The sequence below is a fragment of the Homo sapiens genome, chromosome 1 (genome assembly GCF_000001405.40).
Source record: "Homo sapiens chromosome 1, GRCh38.p14 Primary Assembly".
In the NCBI taxonomy this organism is placed as follows: domain Eukaryota; kingdom Metazoa; phylum Chordata; class Mammalia; order Primates; family Hominidae; genus Homo; species Homo sapiens.
In genome coordinates this window covers 27,436,857-27,458,287 of record NC_000001.11, presented here as the reverse complement: position 1 = coordinate 27,458,287, position 21,431 = coordinate 27,436,857, and the positions used below count along the sequence as shown (strand labels likewise).

General features: G+C 42.8%; 1 protein-coding gene across 2 annotated transcripts in view, besides 1 other annotated feature; it reads left to right on the top strand.

Annotated features, from left to right (window-relative positions):
- The window catches only part of WASF2 (WASP family member 2), an 85,938-nt gene that overhangs the window by 31,880 nt on the left and 32,627 nt on the right, over nt 1–21,431 (top strand). The gene's annotated exons all lie outside the window — the stretch shown is intronic.
- Nucleotides 2,780–2,929: an enhancer, noted in NCBI's record as "active region_550". NCBI's record gives its function as "activates an Ori minimal core promoter by ATAC-STARR-seq in GM12878 lymphoblastoid cells {active_cell/tissue: GM12878}" and the evidence as "EXISTENCE:reporter gene assay evidence [ECO:0000049][PMID:35858748]".

The window sequence follows — 21,431 nt, the reverse complement described above, 5'->3', positions numbered from 1 at the left end:
AGGCTGGAGGGCAGTGACGCGATCTTGGCTCATTGCAACCTCCGCCGCCCGAGTTTAAGCACTTCTCCTGCCTCAGCCTCCCAAGGAGCTGGGACTACAGGTGCAGGCCACCATGCCTGGCTAATTTTTTTTTGTATTTTAGTAGCGACAGAGTTTCGCTGTGTTACCCAAGCTGGTCACGAACTCCTGAGCTCAGGCAATCCGCCTGTCTCGGCCTCCCAAAGTGCTGGGATTACAGGCATGAGCCACCGCGCCCAGCCAACAAATACTTTTGACAACACAGTGTGTGCAAAAGACACAATCTCCTGTCCAAAAGAAACCTATATTCTGAGAACACAGAGATACGTTAAAATATTGAAATATTAGGCTGGGTGTGGTGGCTTATGCCTGTAACCCTAGCACTTTGGGAGGTAAAGGTGGGAGGATTGCTTGAGGCCCAGGAATTTGAGACCAGCCTGGGCAAAATAGTGATACCTAATTTCTACAAAAATTTTTAAAAATTAGCCAGGAGAGGTAGCTCACACCTATAGTCTTAACTACTCAGGAGGCTGAGGCAAGAGGGTCACTTGAGCCCAGGAGTTTGAGGCTGCAGTGAGCTATGATTAAGCCACAGCCCTCTAGCCTGGGCAACAGAGTAAGACCCCGTCTCTTAAAAAAAAAAAAAAAGGTCACAATATTGTTGAATCCCAGATCTTTATGTCTGGATTATACTCTGCCATTATTCCATTCTTCCATTCTTCTATCCGTTTTGTCTTAATAACAATAATTTTTACTAATCCACCTCCTGGGCCCAAGTGATCCTCCCACCTTAGTCTGCTGAGTAGCTGGGACTACAGGCGTCAGCCACCATGCCTGACTAAGTTTTGTAAGTTTTTGTAGAGGCAGAGTTATATCATGTTGTCCAGGCTGGTCTTGAACTCCTGAGCTCAGGGGATCCACCTGCCTCAGCCTCCCAAAGTGCTAGGATTATAGGCATGAGCCACTGCTCCCGACCCTACTAATCAATTTAATAAATACTGTGCCAGTTAATTTGAGGACTTACATAAAAATGGACAAGCTCCTAGGAAAAGATAACTTACCAAGATGATGTAAGAAAAAAATAGAAAACCTGGTCTGACGTGGTGGCTCATGCCTATAATCCCAGCACATTCGGAGGCCGAGGCAGGTGGATCACTTGAGTTCAGGAGTTCAAGATCAGCCTAGCCAATATGGTGAAACACCCCATCTCTACTAGAAAAAAATACAGGCAGGACCCGGTGGCTCACGCCTGTAAATCCCAGCACTTTGGGGGGCCGAGACGGGCAGATCACCTGAGGTCAGGAGTTTGAGACCAGCCTGGCCAACATGACAAAACACCATCTCTACTAAAAATACAAAAAAAATTGCCGGGCGTGGCGGCGGACGGACGCCTATATTCCCAGCTACTTGGGAGGCTGAGGCAGGAGAATCACTTGAACCCGTGAGGCGGAGGTTGCAGTGGAGCTGAGATCGCACCATTGCATTCCAGCCTGGGTGACAGAATGAGACTCTGTCTCCAAAAAAAAAAAAAAAAAAGAGAAAACCTTTAACTATTAAATAAATGGAAGTTTTACTTAACTTCTTCCAGAGGAAAGCACCATGACCAAATTATGTATTTATTTATTTATTCCTAACCACTAGGGAATATCCAAATAATTTTCCAGTTAAATTTGATCACTTTCAAGATACAGCCTATAGTTTTAAAATCAGTTCTAAATTTCACTTTCCATGTTGTTGTCCCCTACATTAAAATGGTGAACTATGGTTTACATTTTTACTTCCTGGCCTATCTGATATGGACCTCTACTAAGGGGACCCAGTTGTCCTGTTTTCTTTTTCATTAGCTCCTACTCCTTATCTCCTTCCTTGCTTTTTCTCTGATTTTTTTTCTTCATAGTCTGCAAGAGTCAGAAAGAACCTTTCCATTGTTGTTTTTTTTTTTTTTTTTTTTTTAGAGTCTCGCTCTGTAGCCCAGGATAGAGTGCAGTGGTGCAGTCTCAGCCCACTGCAAGCTCTGCCTCCTGGGTTCACGCCATTCTCCTGCCTCAGCCTCCCGAGTAGCTGGGACTACAGGTGCCCGCCACCACGCCTGGCTAATTTTTTGTATTTTTAGTAGCGATGGGGTTTTATTGTGTTAGCCAGGATGGTCTCGATCTTCTGACCTCGTGATCCGCCTGCCTCGGCCTCCCAAAGTGCTGGGATTACAGGTGTGAGCCACTGCACCCATCCTAACCTTTTCACTGTTTAGAGATTTGTTTCCCAGTAGATTTATGTTCATCTTTCTGTCCATTTATCAGGAATTTTATGAAGATTTGATGAGTGACAGAAGGGCTGCTTAGCACCACAGGATTTAAAAGATAGTACCTTCCCTCAAAGAGCTCACAGTCTTCGTGTTCCAACTGTAATATGGGATGGATTCTATAATAAAGTAATAATAGAGTTCTCTTGGAGTAGATGAAAGCTTGATTAATTTTTTCTGGGGAATGGGGTCAGGATAGCTTCATGGAAGCAATTACACTTGAACTGGGCCGGGAAGCGTTAATCACATTCTAAGAAGCAGGAAAAAAACAAAAAGGTAAGTAATCCAGGAAGTGGCAAATGTCTTGAGTGAAATCACAGAGACATTGGAGTGCAGGGCTTCTGTGGTGAGCAGTGAGTGGCTGCAGGCTAGAGCATTGGAAAGGTGTGGCCAGAGATGAGGCTAAACAAGTATGTTCGTGTCAGTTAGTGAAGGGCCTTAAATAACACATTCTCTCTGATCATTCCTAGTCTGATTTTTCTCAGTCTCGGCCCTTCTCACATCCCTAACCCACCCCCAATTCTCAGATAAAAATTTTCAGGTTTCCTGCTATGTCATGTGTTGATATATGCCAGAGATTTGGTCATACAGTTTTACCTTAGTGCTGAAAGAGACCAGACTTCATCTGGTTAATTATTAGGAGGCAGCTGCTGGCACATACTCTAGCCATTCCAGACTTTCATGGAGAGAGCTTGATCTCAGTGTTTTGGAAAAACAAAAAGTAACTCCTTCCTATGAAAAGGGGTGGGGTGCTCAGCCTCATCAGTAATCGGAGGAATGCAAATTAAAACTGCAGTGATATATTGGTTTTATGTTCATCAGATTGGTAAAAATTAAAGTCTGACAAAAAATGTTGGGAAGGATGTGAAGCAACTAGAACTCTGCAAGCAGAAGTGTAAATGAGCACAACCATTTTGGAAAAACAATTTGGTATTGTCTCATAATTAAAGATGTACATGCCCTGTGACCCAGAAATTCCACTCCTGGGTATTTACCCTAAAGAACTTTACATATGTGGACCAGGAGACATGTACAAAAACATCCATAGCAACACTGTTGACAATAGCAAAACAAACTAACAGAAAATTCAAACTGGAGAAAAAATCCCAATGTCGATCAACTTGAGATTGGATAAGTTAATCATGATATGTTCCTACAATAGAATACTATATAGCAGTGAAAAAGTAAATCGCAGCTATAGCAACATAAACTAATCTCAAGAACAAAAAGTTGCAGAAGGGTATATACGTTAATATTAGAAATAAAAAAATCAGGTCAAGACCAACCTGGGCAATATAGTGAGACACTGTCTCTACAAAAAAATTTTAAAAGTGGCTGGGCGCAGTAGTTCATGCCTGTAATCCCAGCCTTTTGGGAGGCCAAGGCGGGAGGATCCCTTGAGCCCAGTAGTTCGAGACCACCCTGGACAACGTAAGAAGACCCTGTCTCTACAAAAAATTTAAAAACTAGCTGGGCATTGGTGGTGCCTGCCTGTGGTCCCAGCTACTTGGGAGGATCTCTTGAGCCCAGGAGTTTGAGGCTGCAGTGATCTGTAATTGCACCACTGCACTTCACCGTGAACAACAGGAAAACAGTCTCAAAAAAAAAAAAAATTAGTTGGGCATGGTGGCACACGCTTGTGGTCCCAGCTACTCAGGAGGCTGAAGTAGGAGGATTGCCTGAGCCCAGGAGTTACAGGTTACAAAGAGTGATCATGCACTGCATTCCAGTCTGGACAACAAAGTAAGACCCTGTATCTTTAAAAAAAAAAAAAAAAAAAAAATATATATATATATATATATATATATATATATATACACACACACACACACACATATATATATACACACATATATATACACATATATATGTATATATATTAGAGTCATATGAAGTTCTAGAATGTGACACTAAACAATATAACATTTAGAGATAGAAATGTGATAAAACTATAAAGTAAAGGAAATGGTAAACACACGTCACACGTTTAAGATAGTTATTTCAGGATAAGGAAAGGAGATGGCTTTGGGAGAGTATGCAGGGGGCTTTAAGGCTAATAGTAATATTCTTTTTTGTTTTTTTGAGACAGAGTCTTGGTCTGTTGCCCAGGCTGGAGTGCAGTGGCGTGATCCCAGCTCACTGCAACCTCTGCCTCCCAGGTTCAAGCATCCTTCTGCCTTAGCCCCCCAGTAGCTGGGATTACAGGCATGTGCCACCATGCCTGGCTAGTTTTTGTATTTTTAATAGAGACTGGGTTTTGCCATGTTGGCCAGGCTGGTCTTAATCTCCTGACTTCATGATCCTTCTGCCTTGGCCTCCCAAAGTGCTAGGATTACAGGCGTGAGCCACCGCGCTTGGCCCTTTTTTTTTTTTTTTTTTGAGACAGAGTCTTGCTCTGTCACCCAGGTTGGAGTGCAGTGGAGTGATCTCCACTCACGGCAACCTCTGCCTCCTGGGTTCAAGAAATTCTCCTGCTTCAGCCTCCTGAGTAGCTGGGATTACAGGCGTCCACCACCACACCTGGCTAATTTTTGTATTTTTAGTGGACACAGGGTTTCATCATTTTGCCCAGGCTGGTCTCAAACTGCTGACCTCAAGTGATCCACCCACCTCAGCCTCCCAAAGTGCTGGGATTATAGGCGTGAGCCACCACTCCCGGCAGTATTCTTCTTAAACTGGGTGATAGATACACTGACATTTGCTATGTCATGATTCTTTAGAGTTTACATATATTTTTAATTTTTAAAATTTTTATTTTAATTTTTTGAGATGGAGTCCCATTCTGTCACTCAGGCTGGAGTGCAGTGGTGTGATCTCAGCTCACTGCAACCTGCCTCGTGGGTTCAAGCAATTCTCCTGCCTCAGCCTGCTGAGTAGCTGAGACTGCAGCTGTGTAACACAACACCTGGGTAATTTTTTGTATTTTTAGTAGTGATGGGGTTTCACCATGTTGACCAGGCTGGTCTCAAGCTCCTGACTTCAGGTGATCCACCCACCTCAGCCTCCCAAAGTGCTGGGATTACAGGCGTGAGCCACCGTGCCTGGCAATATTCTTCTTAAACAGTGATAGATACACTGACATTTGCTATATCATGAGTCTTTAGAGTTTACATATATTTTTAATTTTTAAATTTTTGTTTTTATTTTAATTTTTTGAGATGGAGTCCCACTCTATCACTCAGGCTGGAGTGCGGTGGTGTGATCTCAGCTCACTGCAACCTGCCTCCTAGGTTCAAGCAATTCTCCTGCCTCAGCCTGCTGAGTAGCTGAGACTACAGGTGTGTGACACCATGCCTGGGTAATTTTTTGTATTTTTAGTAGAGATGGGGTTTCACCATGTTGGCCAGGCTGGTCTCGAACTCCTGACCTCAGGTGATCCACCCACCTCAGCCTCCCAAAGTGCTGGGATTACAGGCACGAGCCACCGCGTCTGGCCTATTTATTCATTTATTTATTTATTTTAGACAGTCTCACTCTGTCACCAGGCTGGAGTGCAGTGGCACGATCTCAGCTCACTGCAACCTCTGCCTCCCTGGTTCAAGCGATTCTCCTGCCTCAGTTTCCCAAGTAGTTGGGACTACAGGTGCGCACCACCACGCCCAGCTAATTTTTGTATTTTTAGTAGAGATGGGTTTTCACCATGTTGGCCAAGATGGTCTTGATCTTTTGACCTCGTGATCCACCCGCCTTGGTCTCCCAAAGTGTTGGGATTACAGGCGTGAGCCACGGCGCGCAGCCTGCGTCTGGCCTATTTTTTTAAAAACTATATCTCTAAATAATTTTAAAGCATTAAGAAAAGATTGCTGACACTTGATCTAGCCTAGTGTTCTCCCTAGTTCTTCTTTTGCAAATAAACACATTTTTCAAAAAGTAAAAACTGAGGCTCAGAGAAATTAAATACAGTGGTCTCCTGCCTTATCCAGTTTCAGTTACCTGTGTTCCACTCTGGTTCAAAAACAGGTGAATACAGTGCAGTAAGATGTTTTGAGAGACCACATTCACTTAACTTTTACTAATATTACTGTAATTGTTCTATTACTGTTCTTAATGTCTTACTGTGCCTAATTTATAAATTAAACTTTATCATATGTATGTATAGAAAAAAATACACCTCAGTACTATCTGCAGTTTTAGGCGTCATCTGAGGGTATTGGAACTATGTTCTGAGGATAAGGGGTGACTACTGTAATTTAATTGTTCAAGGAAGAAAGTGTACCTGGTCTTTCAAACCCAGTATAGCACACTTTGTAGCATCCTGTTTTGCAACTCTCCTGTTCTGTAGATTCTGTCAATTAGAAATGCTTCCACTTGGACTTCTGCCTTAGTCTTTCACTCCCTCATGTAGTACATTCTCCATACTGCTGCCAGAGAGAGCTTTCTAAATGCAAATCTGATCATGTCACTCTCTGGCCTCAATCTTAAATAGCTCCCTATAGCTTTTAGCACACTCTGTTAAGTGCTGTAGCCCGGCATACAAGGCTCTCTGTGCCTCAGCTTTTGTCTGCCTTATTAGTCTCATCACTCATGACTTCCTGCACTTCAGCCACATAAGCCATTTACTGTTCCTGGAACACTGTTTTTGCCTCTGCATATGCTACTCCCTCCACCTGGAAGTTCTTAACTAGCTTTATTTGTCCTTTAAGACACCTTTTCTTAACTGACTGCCCCTCTTTGCCCCAACTTGAGCTGGATACTTCCATTATACCTTGAACTTAACATTTGTAGTCACACTTACCAGAGTATTATTGTCCCCTTTATTTATATCTCCAGGAGCTTGCAAGCTCTGTGAGGGCAGAGGAAGTATTAAATTAATATCCTAAGTGTGTGGCACAGTGCCTGGTATATAAGTTTCACTGAATGAACAAATAATTGTATATTACTTTATACAAAGACAATATATATGTATGCTTTTTTTTTTCTTTTTAAGAGATGGGATCTCACTATGTTGCCTAGGCTGGCCTCAAATTCCTGGGCCCAAGTGATCCTCCTGCCTTGGCCTCCCAAAGTGTTGAGATTACAGGTGTGAGCCACCATGCCTGGCTCCATATATATTTCATAGTTGTCATTTGTGTGCCAGATTTTCACCAGCTCTACCCATATTTATTGAGGAAAGAAATGAAGAAGGGAGGGAAGGGAGGAGAAGGGAAGGGAACAGAAAAGAAGGGAGAAGGAGGCTGGGTGCGATGGCTCACACCTGTAATCCCAGCACTTTGGGAGGCCAAGGCAGGCAGATCACCTGAGGTCAGGAGTTCGAGACCAGCCTAGGCAACATGGAGAAACCCCGTCTGTACTAAAAATACAAAATTAGCCAGGCGTGGGGCGCGTGCCTGTAATCCCAGCTACTCAGGAGGCTGAGGCAGAAGAATCGCTTGAACCCGGGAGGCAGAGGTTGTGATGAGCTGAGATTGTGCCATTGCACTCCAGCCTGGGCAACAAGAGTGAAACTCTGTCTCAAAAAAAACAAAAAAGAGTCTGGGAGAGGGAAAAAAGAAAGGCAGACAGCTTGGTGGGTAGATGGGTGGGACAAAAGTATTGAGGAGAGGAAGACAAGAAGCTGGTTTGGGAGATTCAGGGTCTTATTAACATTTTAGGCCAAGTACCTGGAAAGTTTAAAACACCCTGTATTTCTTTGGACATGTGCTAATTATCATGACTTATTCTGACATTTCTTAGCCTTTTTGGAAATTTCTCTTCTTGGCTGATAACTATCATTTTTCTCTCTTTACATTAGGGAGTAAGAGCTTTGAGGTACAAGAATGAGACGGTTGTGGCAGACAGCTCATGTTGTCACGGTAGTCTTGGTCTCTAATTTTTTTTTTCTTTTTTTGAGACGGAGTCTTGCTCTGTTGCCCGGGCTGGAGTGCAATGGCGTGATCTCCACTCACCGCAACCTCTGCTTCCCGGATTCAAGCAATTCTCCTGCCTCAGCTTCCCGAATAGCTGGGATTACAGGTGTCTGCCACCACACCCAGCTAATTTTTGTATTTTTAGTAGAGATGGGATTTCACCATGCTGGCCAGGCTGGTCTCGAACTCCTGACCTCAGACGATCCGCCCACCTCAGCCTCCCAAAGTGCTGGGATTATAGGCGTGAGCCACCATGCCCAGCCAATAATTTTCAACTTCTTTTTCTGCTCTGTCCCAGATTGGACCCTGAGTTTGAGGGGTAAATGTAGATCCTCTCTCGTGACCTGGTGGGATGCCAGAATCTATTTCTAAAACAAAGGTTGAACTTGGGTTATCTTCTCTCAGGAAACAGTGCTATAAGACTGGAGTTCCAGACACCCTCCTTATCCTTATCTTTGTGAGAGCCAAAGCACAAGAAGCAACTATGGCTTCATTCATTTGATTTGATAAACTTTTTTTTTTTTTTGAGATGGAGTCTCGCTCTGTTGCCCAGGCTGCAGTGCAATGGCCCGATCTCAGCTCACTGCAACCTCCGCCTCCTGGGTTCAGGTGATTCTCCTGCCTCAACCTCCCAAATAGCTGGAACTACAGGCATGCGCCACCATGCCCAGCTAATTTTTGTATTTTTAGTAGAGATGGGGTTTCACCATGTTGGCCAGGCTGGTCTCGAACTCCTGACCTCAAGTGATAGGGCCCTCCTTGGCCTCCCAAAGTGCTGGGATTATAGGCGTGAGCTACCGCACCTGGCCTTGATAAACATTTATTGACCATTCTCTTGGTACCTAGCGTGGTGGTAGGCACTAAGATTAGAGATGACTCATAGCAGCCTCAGAGAACTCACAGTCTAGTAAGAGAGCAAGTGAAAAAACCGCTCATTTTAATCCCGTGTGATGGTATAGACATGGACAACGTGTTATGGATATTTAGAGAACCGTTATGGCATGTGGAAGAGGGGACGCCAGCTTCCTTTGGGGCAAGGCCTATCAAGAGGTGTTTCGCTTGAGCTCAGACTTGGAAGACCTTATAGGCTGGTGGGGGTTGTGGTGGGTGGTCAAACTTGAGCAAAAGTATGGAGGTAAGAGAGAACATGGTACAGTGGGGTGTGATGGGAAGGTCTGTAGGACTGCAAAGAAAGGTATATGTGTATGAGAATGTGACAGGAGATGAAACCGAAGGCATATAAAGGGCCATATTGTGGATGACCTTTTTTTTTTTTTTTTTTTGAGATGAGGTCTCTCTCTTTCACCCAAGCTGGAATGCAGTGGTGTGATCTTGGCTCACTGCTACCTCCGCCTCACAGGTTCAAGCGATTCTCCTGCCTCAGCCTTCTGAGTAGTTGGGACTATGGGTATGCATCACCACACCTGACTAATTCTAGTAAAGATGGGATTTCACCATGTTGGCCAAGCTGGTCTCGAACTCCTGACTTCAAGAGATCCACCCACCTCGGCCTCCCAAAGTGCTGGGATTACAGGCGTGAGCTATTGTGCCTGGCCAGTGGATGACCTTTTCTACTTTCCTAGATAAACTGGATTGTCAGTAGAAGTGTTTCCATTTGTCCAATGTTCGGTGTTAGTGTTTTACTATTGTCTTTTGAGTAACTGAGTTTCATCACTTTTTATTTCTTTGATTTGTTCTTTTTATGATACCCAAATTTGGAACTCTCTTTATTCTTCAGGTGATTCTGCTTTGAGTACGATCTAGTCAAACCCTACACTCAGACATTGTGGAATGGATGATACACTGCTTTTAAGGCAGTTTGGAAGGAGGATGATTTAAATGACCTTCAAAGAGTAATGTCAAGCCCCCATGTCAATGTCACTGCAATTCATGCATGCATGGAGAATAGGAAAGGAACTTAATTGTGGAGGAGGGGAATTGTAACCCTGTTTGAATGGGTAGTTGAAAGTCCTGGGCCCGCCCCTAAGGCTCAAAAAAGGACTTTCTTACATTTGCTGCCAAGAGGTCAGAGGGAGAGCCCATATAAATACCATCCTCCCGCGGGGTGTGTGAGCCAGTCTTATTCTTTTACTTCCACAGGTGCAGAACAGGTTCACCAAATAGTATTCTGATCTCCCTTGAACAGAATCTGACATCATATTGTCCTTCTCTAGAAAATCAATCCCTTTAAAGCATGGAACATGGCAATTTTAGGTCAGTAGGCATTTAAAGACACCTTTTTAACTTTCAAGGGCTGGCCTAATAAGATATATTTTGTACAAAATACCAGTGTTATCAAGATGAAACTTGAATCATTTAAATTTTGCAAGAGACTTAGTTTTAGCTGCTTGTGTACCTTTTACCTATGAAATTACTTCTTATTTTCTTTTAATGGTGCTGTCCTTCTGGAGCACTGTGATCATCATCAGGTATCAGGCTCCATTCCTTCAGCTAAACTTTCGTGACTGTTCGGAATCCATTAGTGTTTGAGATGAGGGAACCCACAGCAACCCATGTCACTGTCTTTTCGGACCACAAAATAACTTTCCATAGTTAGGCTGGATGACTGCAGAAACCAGTGCCTTACATAGTCAGGAGCTGCTGCAACATAGCTACAATCTGAACAACCAAAGGAATTAATCACAGCCAGCCTCATCCATTTCATTAATTTGTTTTGCCAAATGGTATCAGTGAGGCAGAGGTACACCTTTGGCTCATTAATACAAGATCTGAACGGGAAAAATCTATTTCATTGAAATCCTTGAGAGTTGCTGAAAACACATGATATGTCTTAGTACTTTAAATAGAACTGTTCTAATTTGGAGGGAAACTGCTGTACAAACATGGCCCATTGATACCTTCACAGCTTATCTATTCATGCCGCTCTTGCCATTTCTGAATTTTGGAAAAAGTTCTGTGTTAATGTAAATATAATTTTATTTTTCTAAATACTCATATCTTAAAATAATACTCATTAATAGATTTTGGTAGGAAAACTCCATCTTCTTAATTTTTCATTTATATAAGCTTCTTCCCTGCATTCTGGAAGACATTCTTCAGTGTATATACTGTGTCAAAGCCCATTTTCAAGGCAGTTGATAGAGATTTAGCTATGCAATTTATTTACCATTGGTCACCAAGAAAATAAAAATGGAAGAACCAGAAGGCCACTGAGGGAAAATGTTATAACAGCATACTCCAGGGGCTAGAGACCAGAGAGCAAGAAGAATGCTCACGGGTGGTCCCAGGGAACTATGATTGATAGTAACAGAATAGCAATTAGGTAATGGAAAGTTCCGGCTACTGTACCAAAGACATTCTTCATCTTTTTTTTTTTTTTTTTGGAGACAGGCTCTCACCCTGTCACCCAGGCTGGAGTGTGGTGGCACAATCTTGGCGCACTGCAATCTCCACCTCCCAGGCTCAAGCGATCCACCCACCTCAGCCTCTTGAGTAGCTGGGACTACCAGTGTGCACCACCACGCCTGGCTAATTTTTGTGTTTTTTGTAGAGATGGGGTTTTGCCATGTTACCAAGGCTGGCCTCCAACTCCTGGGCTCAAGTGATCTGCCTGCCTCAGCCTCCCAAAGTGCTGGTTGGGATTATAGGCGTTTCTTCTAACAAATTTTGTCTTGGAGTTGTCTTTACAAGTGAAGCTTTTGTGATTTTTGGAATGCTATAGAATTCATCTCTAGGCTTCTTGTCCCACTAAAGCATTAGAATTTAAAACAGACCCTTTAACATGATTTATAGCAGACAAGAAATACCAGTTCAGTTTGGGCAGGTGGTATTTAATTGCCCCTCTTTGCGGTCCCTGTAAAATTGTTTGTGGGTGAAATCACAACAAAGATCCATAAAGAACAGCTTTATATATATATTGAAAGAGATACCAGTTTCTTGCATTTTTCTAATGTCAAAGGTTAATTTAAAATATTAATGCTGAAAAGATTAAGATATTAAATCTAGTAAAGAATACATGTACATATTGTAATTACTTTTTACGATTAAAGTAATTGGATTATATTTAATGAGCTATTTACATTTAATAATTAAAAAAGACTTATCTTTTCAGTATTTCCTATATGCAGAAAGAGATGGGAGAAAACTCACTTCTGATATAATTATCTTAGTTTGGGCTAAATAGGAAAAACAACTGTGCTTTTTAGAAAAAGAGAAGAATATTATATTAAAATATACATACACAGATTAAGAATTACCCATAGGAGTGTTTTAGTTCATTGTAAAAGAAGATGGAAGATTAGGTGCTTTAAAAAAAAAAAAAAAGTCCCTGATGAGAAGATTTGATGAGCTAAACAGAGAATGAAACTTAAAGCGATTCTCAGGGACCCTGTAGATAAAAGTAACCCGTCAGAAGTGTTGGAACCCCTAATGCCTAGCTGTTTGAAAACAGGAGTTTGAAAAGCAGTAGCATCTGCACATGTTATCTGAGGCTGGGATTTTAAATAAGCCTGTGTTTATGTTGTTTAAAGGAAAGAAGTGAAGCCCCTGAGCATCTGGCTAAAATTGGGCGCAGAGAGGGAGAAAGCAGTATGTTATACTCATTAACACCATTTCAGTTTTAGGGTAAATAGGAATGCTTTCTTGTGTTAGCATGCAGTCTTTTTTCCATGGGAGATAAACTAGTCTGGAATTTGATGGCACTTGTGTACAAAGATGAGAACTATGGGCGTATTTGTCTAACTTCTTAGTTTGGGTGTTTTGCATAGAGTCAGTGTGGTGTCATGGAAAGAACATGAAGTTTGGACACAGTTGGACCTGGGTTTGAAAGCTGTCTGTCTGTGTGACTTTCATAAAGTTATGAATCACTCTGGGTTTTAGTTTTCTGATCTGTAAAATCAAAATATTACTACTTACCTTGGAAAATTGGAGGACTAGAAATATTCAAGAAAATGTGAATAAATATCTGGTACATTTTAGGAATTTAACAGGTATTTATTGAGCAGACACTGTAGGATGAAAAGAAATTTTAAGAATCCTACTTTGTCTCCAGATAGTTGCTGTTGCTACTACTGCTTTATGTTAGGTTTAAAGATATTTTGTTTTTCAATTCCTGTACTCAAAGAGTTGTATACACCAAAAATCTGTGCTATAAAATAGACTGTAGTGACTGCTATAAAAGAGGTTCAGCATACCTCATTGGCACTTGGAGGGAGGAAAATGACTTTAGACTGGAAGATTCAGGGAAGGCTTCTTAGAAGTGGTGACACTCACCTCGGGCTTTTAAGATGAAAGATTGTTTGTGTGTTTTTATAAAGAAATACCACAATCCAGATAATAGTCTCTTGAAGAATGTATTGCCTTCAAAGTACTTAAAGTGAAAATACTGGATTGACTCTTGACTGTGATTGGGAAGACTGATACCCTTTGTTGTAATCCTTAAAATAGGTATAATGTAAGCAGAGGCCATCCATCTTTTTCAGTATTTGTCTCCATGTTCCTGAAGAGCCTGTCTCAGAAGGTAAGAGGCCCACCTACTTCTTGGCCTCCACTGAAACCAAATAAAAGAGGACCATTTAGGAACACCTTTGTGTAATGCTCTTTGTTGTTTAATTTGACCTGCTGTCTTTAGATTATTTCATTACTAGGAGGTAGGTCCATATAAACTCGCCATTCCTTCGAGTTAGTAATAATGAGAGCTATCAGTTACTGAATACCTACTGGGTGCTGGGTACCCCTCTGGAATGCTTACATATGTTATCACATCTTATTCTTAGAACTATCCTAGGTTGGCCATGGTGGTTTACGCCTGTAATCCCAGCTCTTTGGAAGGCTGAGGTGGGAGGATCACTTGAATTCAGGAGTTTGAGACCAACCAGGGCAACATAGTAAGACCCTGTTCCTACAAAAAGTGAAAACATTAGCTGAGCATGGTGCTGCACGCTTCTAGCCCCAGCTACTCTGGAGGCTGAGGTGGGAGGATTGCTTGAGCCCAGGAGACTGAAGCTGCATGAGTCACGTTCACACCACTGCACTGCAGCGTGAGTGACTGAGCCAGACCCTGTCTCAAAAAAATAAAAACAACTAAGGCCAGGCGCGGTGGCTCATGCCTGTAATCCCAGGACTTTGAGAGGCTGAGGCGGGCAGATCACAAGGTCAGGAGTTCGAGACCAGCCTGGCCAACATGATGAAACGCCATATCTACTAAAAATACAAAAATTAGCCAGGTGTGGTGGTGGGTGCCTGTAATCCCAGCTACTCATGAGGCTGAGGCAGGAGAATCACTTGAACCCAGAAGGTGGAGGTTGCAGTGAGCTGAGATCACCCCCCCCTGCACTCCAGCCGGGGCAAAAGAGCAAAACTCTGTCTCTAAATAAATAAATAAATACAACTATAGTATAAGGTAGTTTGTATTTTCCCTATTTTATGGATGAGGCTCAGAGAGATTAACTACCCTAAGGTCATATAGCTAGTGGCTCAAGAAATCCTTGCTTTCTTTGTCTGAACATTCTTCTGGATTTACCAAGCTATATTAAATTTTTTTTTGTTTTTTGAGGTGGAGTTTTGCTCTTGTTGCCCGGGCTGGAGTGCAATGGCGCAGTCTTGGCTCACTGCAACCTCCGCCTCCTGGGTTCAAGCGATTCTCCTGCCTCGGCCTCCCAAGTAGCTGGGATTACAGGTGCCTGCCACCACGCCCAGCTAGTTTTTGTGGTTTAGTAGAGACGGAGTTTCACCATGTTGGCCAGGCTGGTCTTGAACTCCTGACCTCAGGTGATCCACCCACCTCAGCCTCCCGAAGTGCTGGGACTACAGGCATGAGCCACTGTGCCTGGCCTTTTTTTTTTTTTTTTTTTTTTTTAAGAGACGGTGTCTTGCTCTTGTTGCCTGGGTGGGCCTCTTACTCCTGGAGTCAAGCGATGCTTTCACCTCAGCCTCCCAGGTAGCTGGGACCACAGGTACATGCTACCACACTTGGCTAATTTTTTATTTATTTATTTATTTAGAAACAGGGTCTCACTGTGTTGCCCAGGCTGGAGTGCAGTGGCACAATCACAGCCTACTGCAGGCTCGACTTCCTGGGCTCAGGCAATCCCCCCATCTCGGCCTCTAGAGTAGCTGGGACTACAGGTTTTCGGCACCGTGCCTGGCTAATTTTTTTTTTTTTTTTTTTTTTTTGAGACAGAGTCTCGCTCTGTTTCCTAGGCTGGAGGGCAGTGGCGCAGTTTTGGCTCACTGCAACCTCTGCCTCCCAGGTTCAAGCGATTCTCCTCCTGAGTAGCTGGTTTTACAGGCATGTGCCACCACACTTGGCTAATTTTTGTATTTTTAGTAGAGACGGGGTTTCACCATGTTGGTCAGGCTGGTCGCAAACTCCTGACCTCGTGATCCGCCCACCTCGGCCCCCTAAAGTGCTGGGATTATGGGTATGAGCCACCACGCCCGGCCCTTTGGCTAGTTTTTTGTGTTTTTCATAGAAATGAGGTTTATCCATGTTACCCAGGCTGGTCTCAAACTCCTGGGCTCAAGCAGTCTGCCCATCTCAGCCTCCCAGAGTGCTGTGATTATAGGCATGAGGCACCACGCCTGGCCTATTTTTATTTTTAATTTTAACTTTAATTTTTTTGAGATGGAGTCTCGCTCTGTCTCCTAGGCTGGAGTGCAGTGGCACAGTCTGGTTCACTGCAACCTCCACCTGCTGGGTTCAAGCGATTCTTCTGCCTCAGCCTCCTGAGTAGCTGGGACTACAGGCACGTGCCACCACGCCTGGCTAAGTTTTGTATTTTTAGTAGAGACGGGGTTTTACCATATTGGCCAGGCTGGTCTTGAACTCTTGACCTTGTGATCTGCCGGCCTCGGCCTCCCAAAGTCCTGAGATTACAGGTGTGAGCCACTGCGCCCAGCCTTTATTTTTAGTTTTTAACTTTGGTAGGTACATAGTAGTTGTATATGTTTATGGGATCCAGCATATTTTAAAATTTTTTTGTAAAGATAGGGTCTTTCTATGTTGCCCAGGCTGGTTATATTGATTATTTATTTTATTTACTATTTTTTTTTTAGAGATGAAGTCTCATTTTTTTGCCCAGGCTGGAGTGCAGTGGAGCAATCAGTCATGGCTCACCACAGACTCAAACTCCTAGGCTTAAAGGATCCTCTTGCCTCAGCCTCCTGAGTAGCTGGGACTACAAGTGCACACCACTGCACTCAGCTGAGTTTTTCTTTCTTTCTTTTTTTTTTTTTTTTTGAGATGGAGTCTCGTTGTGTCGCCAGGCTGGAGTGCAGTGGCACAATCTTGGCTCACTGCAACCTCCGCCTCCCAGATTCAAGTGATTCTCATGCCTCAGCCTCCCGAGTAGCTGGGACTACAGGCATGTGCCATCACGCCCGGCTAATTTTTTTTTTTTTTTTTTTTTTTGAGACGGAGTCTCGCTCTGTCACCCAGCCTGGAGTGCAGTGGCGCAATCTCGGCTCACTGCAAGCTCCGCCTCCCAGGTTCCCGCCATTCTCCTGCCTCAGCCTCCGGAGTAGCTGGGACTACAGGCGCCCGCCACCACGCCCGGCTAATTTTTTTGTATTTTTAGTAGAGATGGGGTTTCACCATGTTAGCCAGGATGGTCTCGATCTCCTGACCTTGTGATCCGCCCACCTCGGCCTCCCAAAGTGCTGGGATTACAGGCGTGAGCCACCGCGCCCGGCCATTTTTAGTAGAGACAGGGTTTCACTCTGTTGGCCAAGCTGGTCTCGAATTCCTGACCTCAAGTGATCCACCCACCTCGGCCTCCCAAAGTGCTGGGATTACAGGTGTGAGCCACCACGCCCAGCCACGTTTTTCATTTTTTATAGAGACAGGGCCTTGTCATTTTGCCCAGGCTGGTGTCAACTTCCTGGGCTCAAGTGATCCTCCCACCTTGGCCTCCCAAAGTGCTGGGAGTACAGTCATGAGCCACCACTCCCAGCCAGTAAGTATTTGTATATCCAAACATAACTAAACATAGAAAAGGGGCTGGGCATGTTGGCTCACTCCTGTAATCCCAGCACATTGGGAGGCTGAGGCGGGCAGATCGCTTGAGCTCAGGAGTTCGAGACTACCCTAGGCAACATGGTGAAACCCCATCTCTACCAAAAATACAAAAAATTAGCTGAGCGTGGTGGCATGTGCCTGTGGTCCCAGCTACTTGGGAGGCTAAGGCGGGAGGATAGCTGGAACCCAGGAAGGGGAGGCTGCAGTGAGCTGAGATTGTGCTACTGCACTCCAGCCTGGGTGACAAGAGTGAAACCTCATCTCAAAAAAAAAAAAGTGTTATGATCTTATGGGACCACTGTCATATATGTGGTCCATCATAGTCCATCATTGACTGAAATGTTGTTATGTGGTACATAACTATTCTCTTGTAAGTCTGAGTTATAGAATGCATTTTAGTGTTAGAGAGATTTTTTAAAGACCACCGTGTCCACCTTCTGAGGCTGGAGGATTGCTTGAGCTCAGGAGTTCATGGCTTTAGTGCACTATGATTGTGCCTGTGAATAGCCACTAAATTTCAGCCTAGGTAACATGATGAGACCTTGTCTCTAAAATAATATGTTTATATTTCATTGACTCAGGTATACATTTTTTCCTCACATTTTAACATCGCTTTTTTTTTTTTTTAAGACAGGGTCTCACTCTGTCACCAGGCTGGAGTGCAGTGGTGTGATCACTGCTCACTGCAGCCTCGACCTCCTGGGCTAAAGTGATCCTCCCATATCAGCCTCCTGAGTAGCTGAGACTACAGCTGTGCGCCACTGCATTCAGCTAATTTTTGTATTTTTTGTAGACGGGATTTCTCCACATTGCCTAGACTGGTCTAAAAAGCGTGAGCTCAAGCGATCCACTCTCCTTGGCCTCCCAAGGTGCTGGGATTATAGGCATGAGCCACCATACCCACCCCATTTTAACATCTCTTGAATCGTAATGCCTCTTTCAATCAGTGGCATCCTAAATTTGATGAAATATGGTAGAAACCCATTGGAATTGTGACTTTTCCATAAATACTAGTGGTAAAGTTCAAGACTTCTGTTTATCATATTAGCTCTCCTTGAAAAACCTTTCCGTCTGTTTTTTTACATCCAAATTCTATCCAGTTCAGATACTAGGTTTTGGGTTTTGTTTTGTTTACTTTTGTTTTTTTGAGACAGAGTCTCATTCTGTCTCAAAGGCTGGAGGGCAGTGGCATGGATCTTGGCTCATTGCAGCTTCAACGTCCCGCGTTAAAGTGATTCTCCTGCCTCAGCTTCTCAAGTAGATGGGACTACAGGTGTGTACCACTACACCTGGCTAACTTTTAATTTTTTTTGTAGAGACAAGGTCTCACCATGTTGCCCAGGCTAATCTTGACCTCCTAGGCTGAAGTGATCCTCCACCTCGGCCTCCCAAAGTGCTGGGATTACAGGCATGAGCCACTGCACCCAGCCCCAGTTCAGATCTTTAAGGTTCCAAGGAGTCTGTTCAGTCCCTTCAGTTCACAGTGATCTTTTCATCCTTTCTATTGTCATAATTGAACTTCTATTTATTTGCTATATTGTTACTTAACTGTGGTTTTCTCTCTCTCTGAACTAAATTATAAGCTCCTGGAGTCAAGGGAAGAGATTTTATACTTCTTTGTGTCTTTTAGTGTCTTCTTGATAAATATTCAGTGATTGATAACAGCACTATAATTAGTAGTTAACCATTAATACGACCTGAAGCTTATTAAGACAGTATTGTATAATGCTTAAGAGAACCATATATAAACATTTAGAACAGGGCATGTGCTAGATAGATGTCAATCATTCTACTGCTACTACTACTACCACCACCACTACTACCATGATACTACTATTACTACTACTGTTGTTTTAATTATTCTGTGCTAGGCACTGTGCTAAACGTTTTATACATGCATTATTTCATTTTTCTTCACAACAACTTTACAGACAAGGGGTCATGATAATGATTTAACAGGCTAGGAAATAGACTGAGAGACTGCTTGCCAAGGTTCCAAAGCTATAAAATGTGGCAGTGGTGGAGTGAAACCCACACCTGTGTCTCTTAATGTTCATGCTCTTGCTCTGCCCCACTGCTTACTAGATTTTTAGGGCTTTGGCAACTTCCTGGTAAACTGAGGTTAGAAAGGAAAGAACAGATACTTATTTTTCCCTCTGCTCAAGGACTTTAGCTTGTAAGTCTCATGCTTTGAGTGCTGACTGAATGTTGTGAGAGGAAGTAGATGTACAGCTGCCCTTTGCTGCTGACTCTTAGTCAGTTGCTGGTGGCTTGGCCATTAGTGACAGATATGTGTGTGACACTTTTTCAGGAATGAATTCTTGTTACAGCTGGCTATTGAGTAGTTCATATGGAATTGCATGGCAATTTGCTCCATAATTCCACTCCTTGTCTCACATGTAGTTGTGATTGCTAGGTCTCTCTCCTCACTTAAGTTGGTGTATTAATAGTCACATCTCAGGACTGCTGCTTCCGCCCACCTGCTCCATGACCACACAGTGTGTTTGTGTATTGCCCTGAAGTGTCAACAAAACATTTTGCTGAATTTTCTTTTTGTTGTTGCTCTGCAACCATCTTTTCCCTGGCCTTTCTCAGTTGTGTAAAGTTGGTTTCTTTCTTGGTCTTTCCATCCCAGAGAGGGTGCAGTTACTGCAAAGAGAAGCTTGAAATAAGAAGTAAGGCATCATAACAATTAAAACAAATGGTTACACAGCTAGCCAGGTGAATTGAGACTTAGTGCCTGATGTGCAGTTCAGCTCTTATTATCTCCTTCCTCTTCTATTTTCAAACCTGCCACTGTAGCTAATCCACCAGTGGGTACTCTAATACCTTGACCAAAGGAAGTTTAACCTAGTACAGTACTCAGTGCTGCTTGCAAGAGCCAAGAAAGAAAGGTTGCAGTCTAGCCCCATCTTCTCCATCGCATAGTATGATAGTAAAATGGGGTTAGACCCTTCCATAAAACCAAGCTGTGTATTGGACTTTTGGCTGTTTGTCTGGGAGAATACATGCCCAGGTTTGGCTTCCTCCCAGGTACTTGGAGAGGAATGCATTTTGTATCTGTCCTCTTATCTCAAATTTCTGGGTACCATCAACTGGAGAGCACTCTCTTCTGTCATTGGCTATAAATTTAAAAAGAATCGTTTAAATATGAAGGGTATTTTATTGGGGCTTGTGTGAGTTATTGACATATTTCTAGTAATCTAGTGAATGATTTGAACTGATTTGTTGAGGTTTGATACTTTTTTTGTTTTGTGTGTGGGTGTTGTTTTTTCAGAACAGCTTAGTTGTTTTTCATGTTAAACTCCTGTGTAAATTTAATGTTCAGTTGATGACAATGGCTGAAAGAAATCTGATACCTTATTAGGAGTAAAGGGTAAGATTTCTCCATTTATAAGTACAATTATTCATAATCTATATTTATCCAATCAAAGTAAAAGCCCATTTAGATGGGTAGTTTGAAGTATTTCAAACCATACAATTTTGGTGATATGGGTTTTACTAGAAATTGGCATTAGATTGGGAAAGTAAAATGAACTTTGTCTGTAACTGAAAGTCATCAGTGACCACATTGTAGATCCTGTGTAATTTAAGTGGATCCATAACAAGGAATTGGGCCAAGATGGAGATACAAGAAATACTTTATGCGGGTAAATCTTTTCCTCAGAGCTCAGAATACTTTGCATACAAAATCTCTGTTTCATATAGCATCTTTCAAGCATTTTTTAGTGTAGTTTACAGCTGGACTAGAGGGATGAATTGAAATTTTATCCCCGATTGCCTGTCATCATTAGATTGAAAGCTAGAATCCAGGTTTCCAACTCACAGTTTAAATGTATTTTCTTTTGGACAACCAGATGGATCCTGCTAAAAAGAGAGTCTAATTTTGGCCATTTAAAAGACAGTTTTCTATGAAAAAGTTGATACTAGAAGAAACCAATTTTGAAGGTTAAAGAGATTCCCCCAATTTTAGTTTTAAGAACGAAACTATGATTAGACCCTTAAGTGTAAAAGGGTAAGAACAAAAGGTGCTATTGCCCCCAAAAGATAATAAAAAGTTATGGAATTACCAGGTGTGAATGAATGGTCCTTCATAGATGTACCTTATGCTCAAGGAGTAAGATACTGGAGTTTAGAAGTTCTGTTTCCTCAGCTACTGTCTTAAAGCCATATCAAGACAAGAAGTATCCCTACACTGATTGGATGTAGGCACAAAATTGGTGTGTCATTCCTTTATGAAATTGGAAATATCTCTTTTAGATCACAAGTAAGCCCTTTTTCTCAGTTTTCC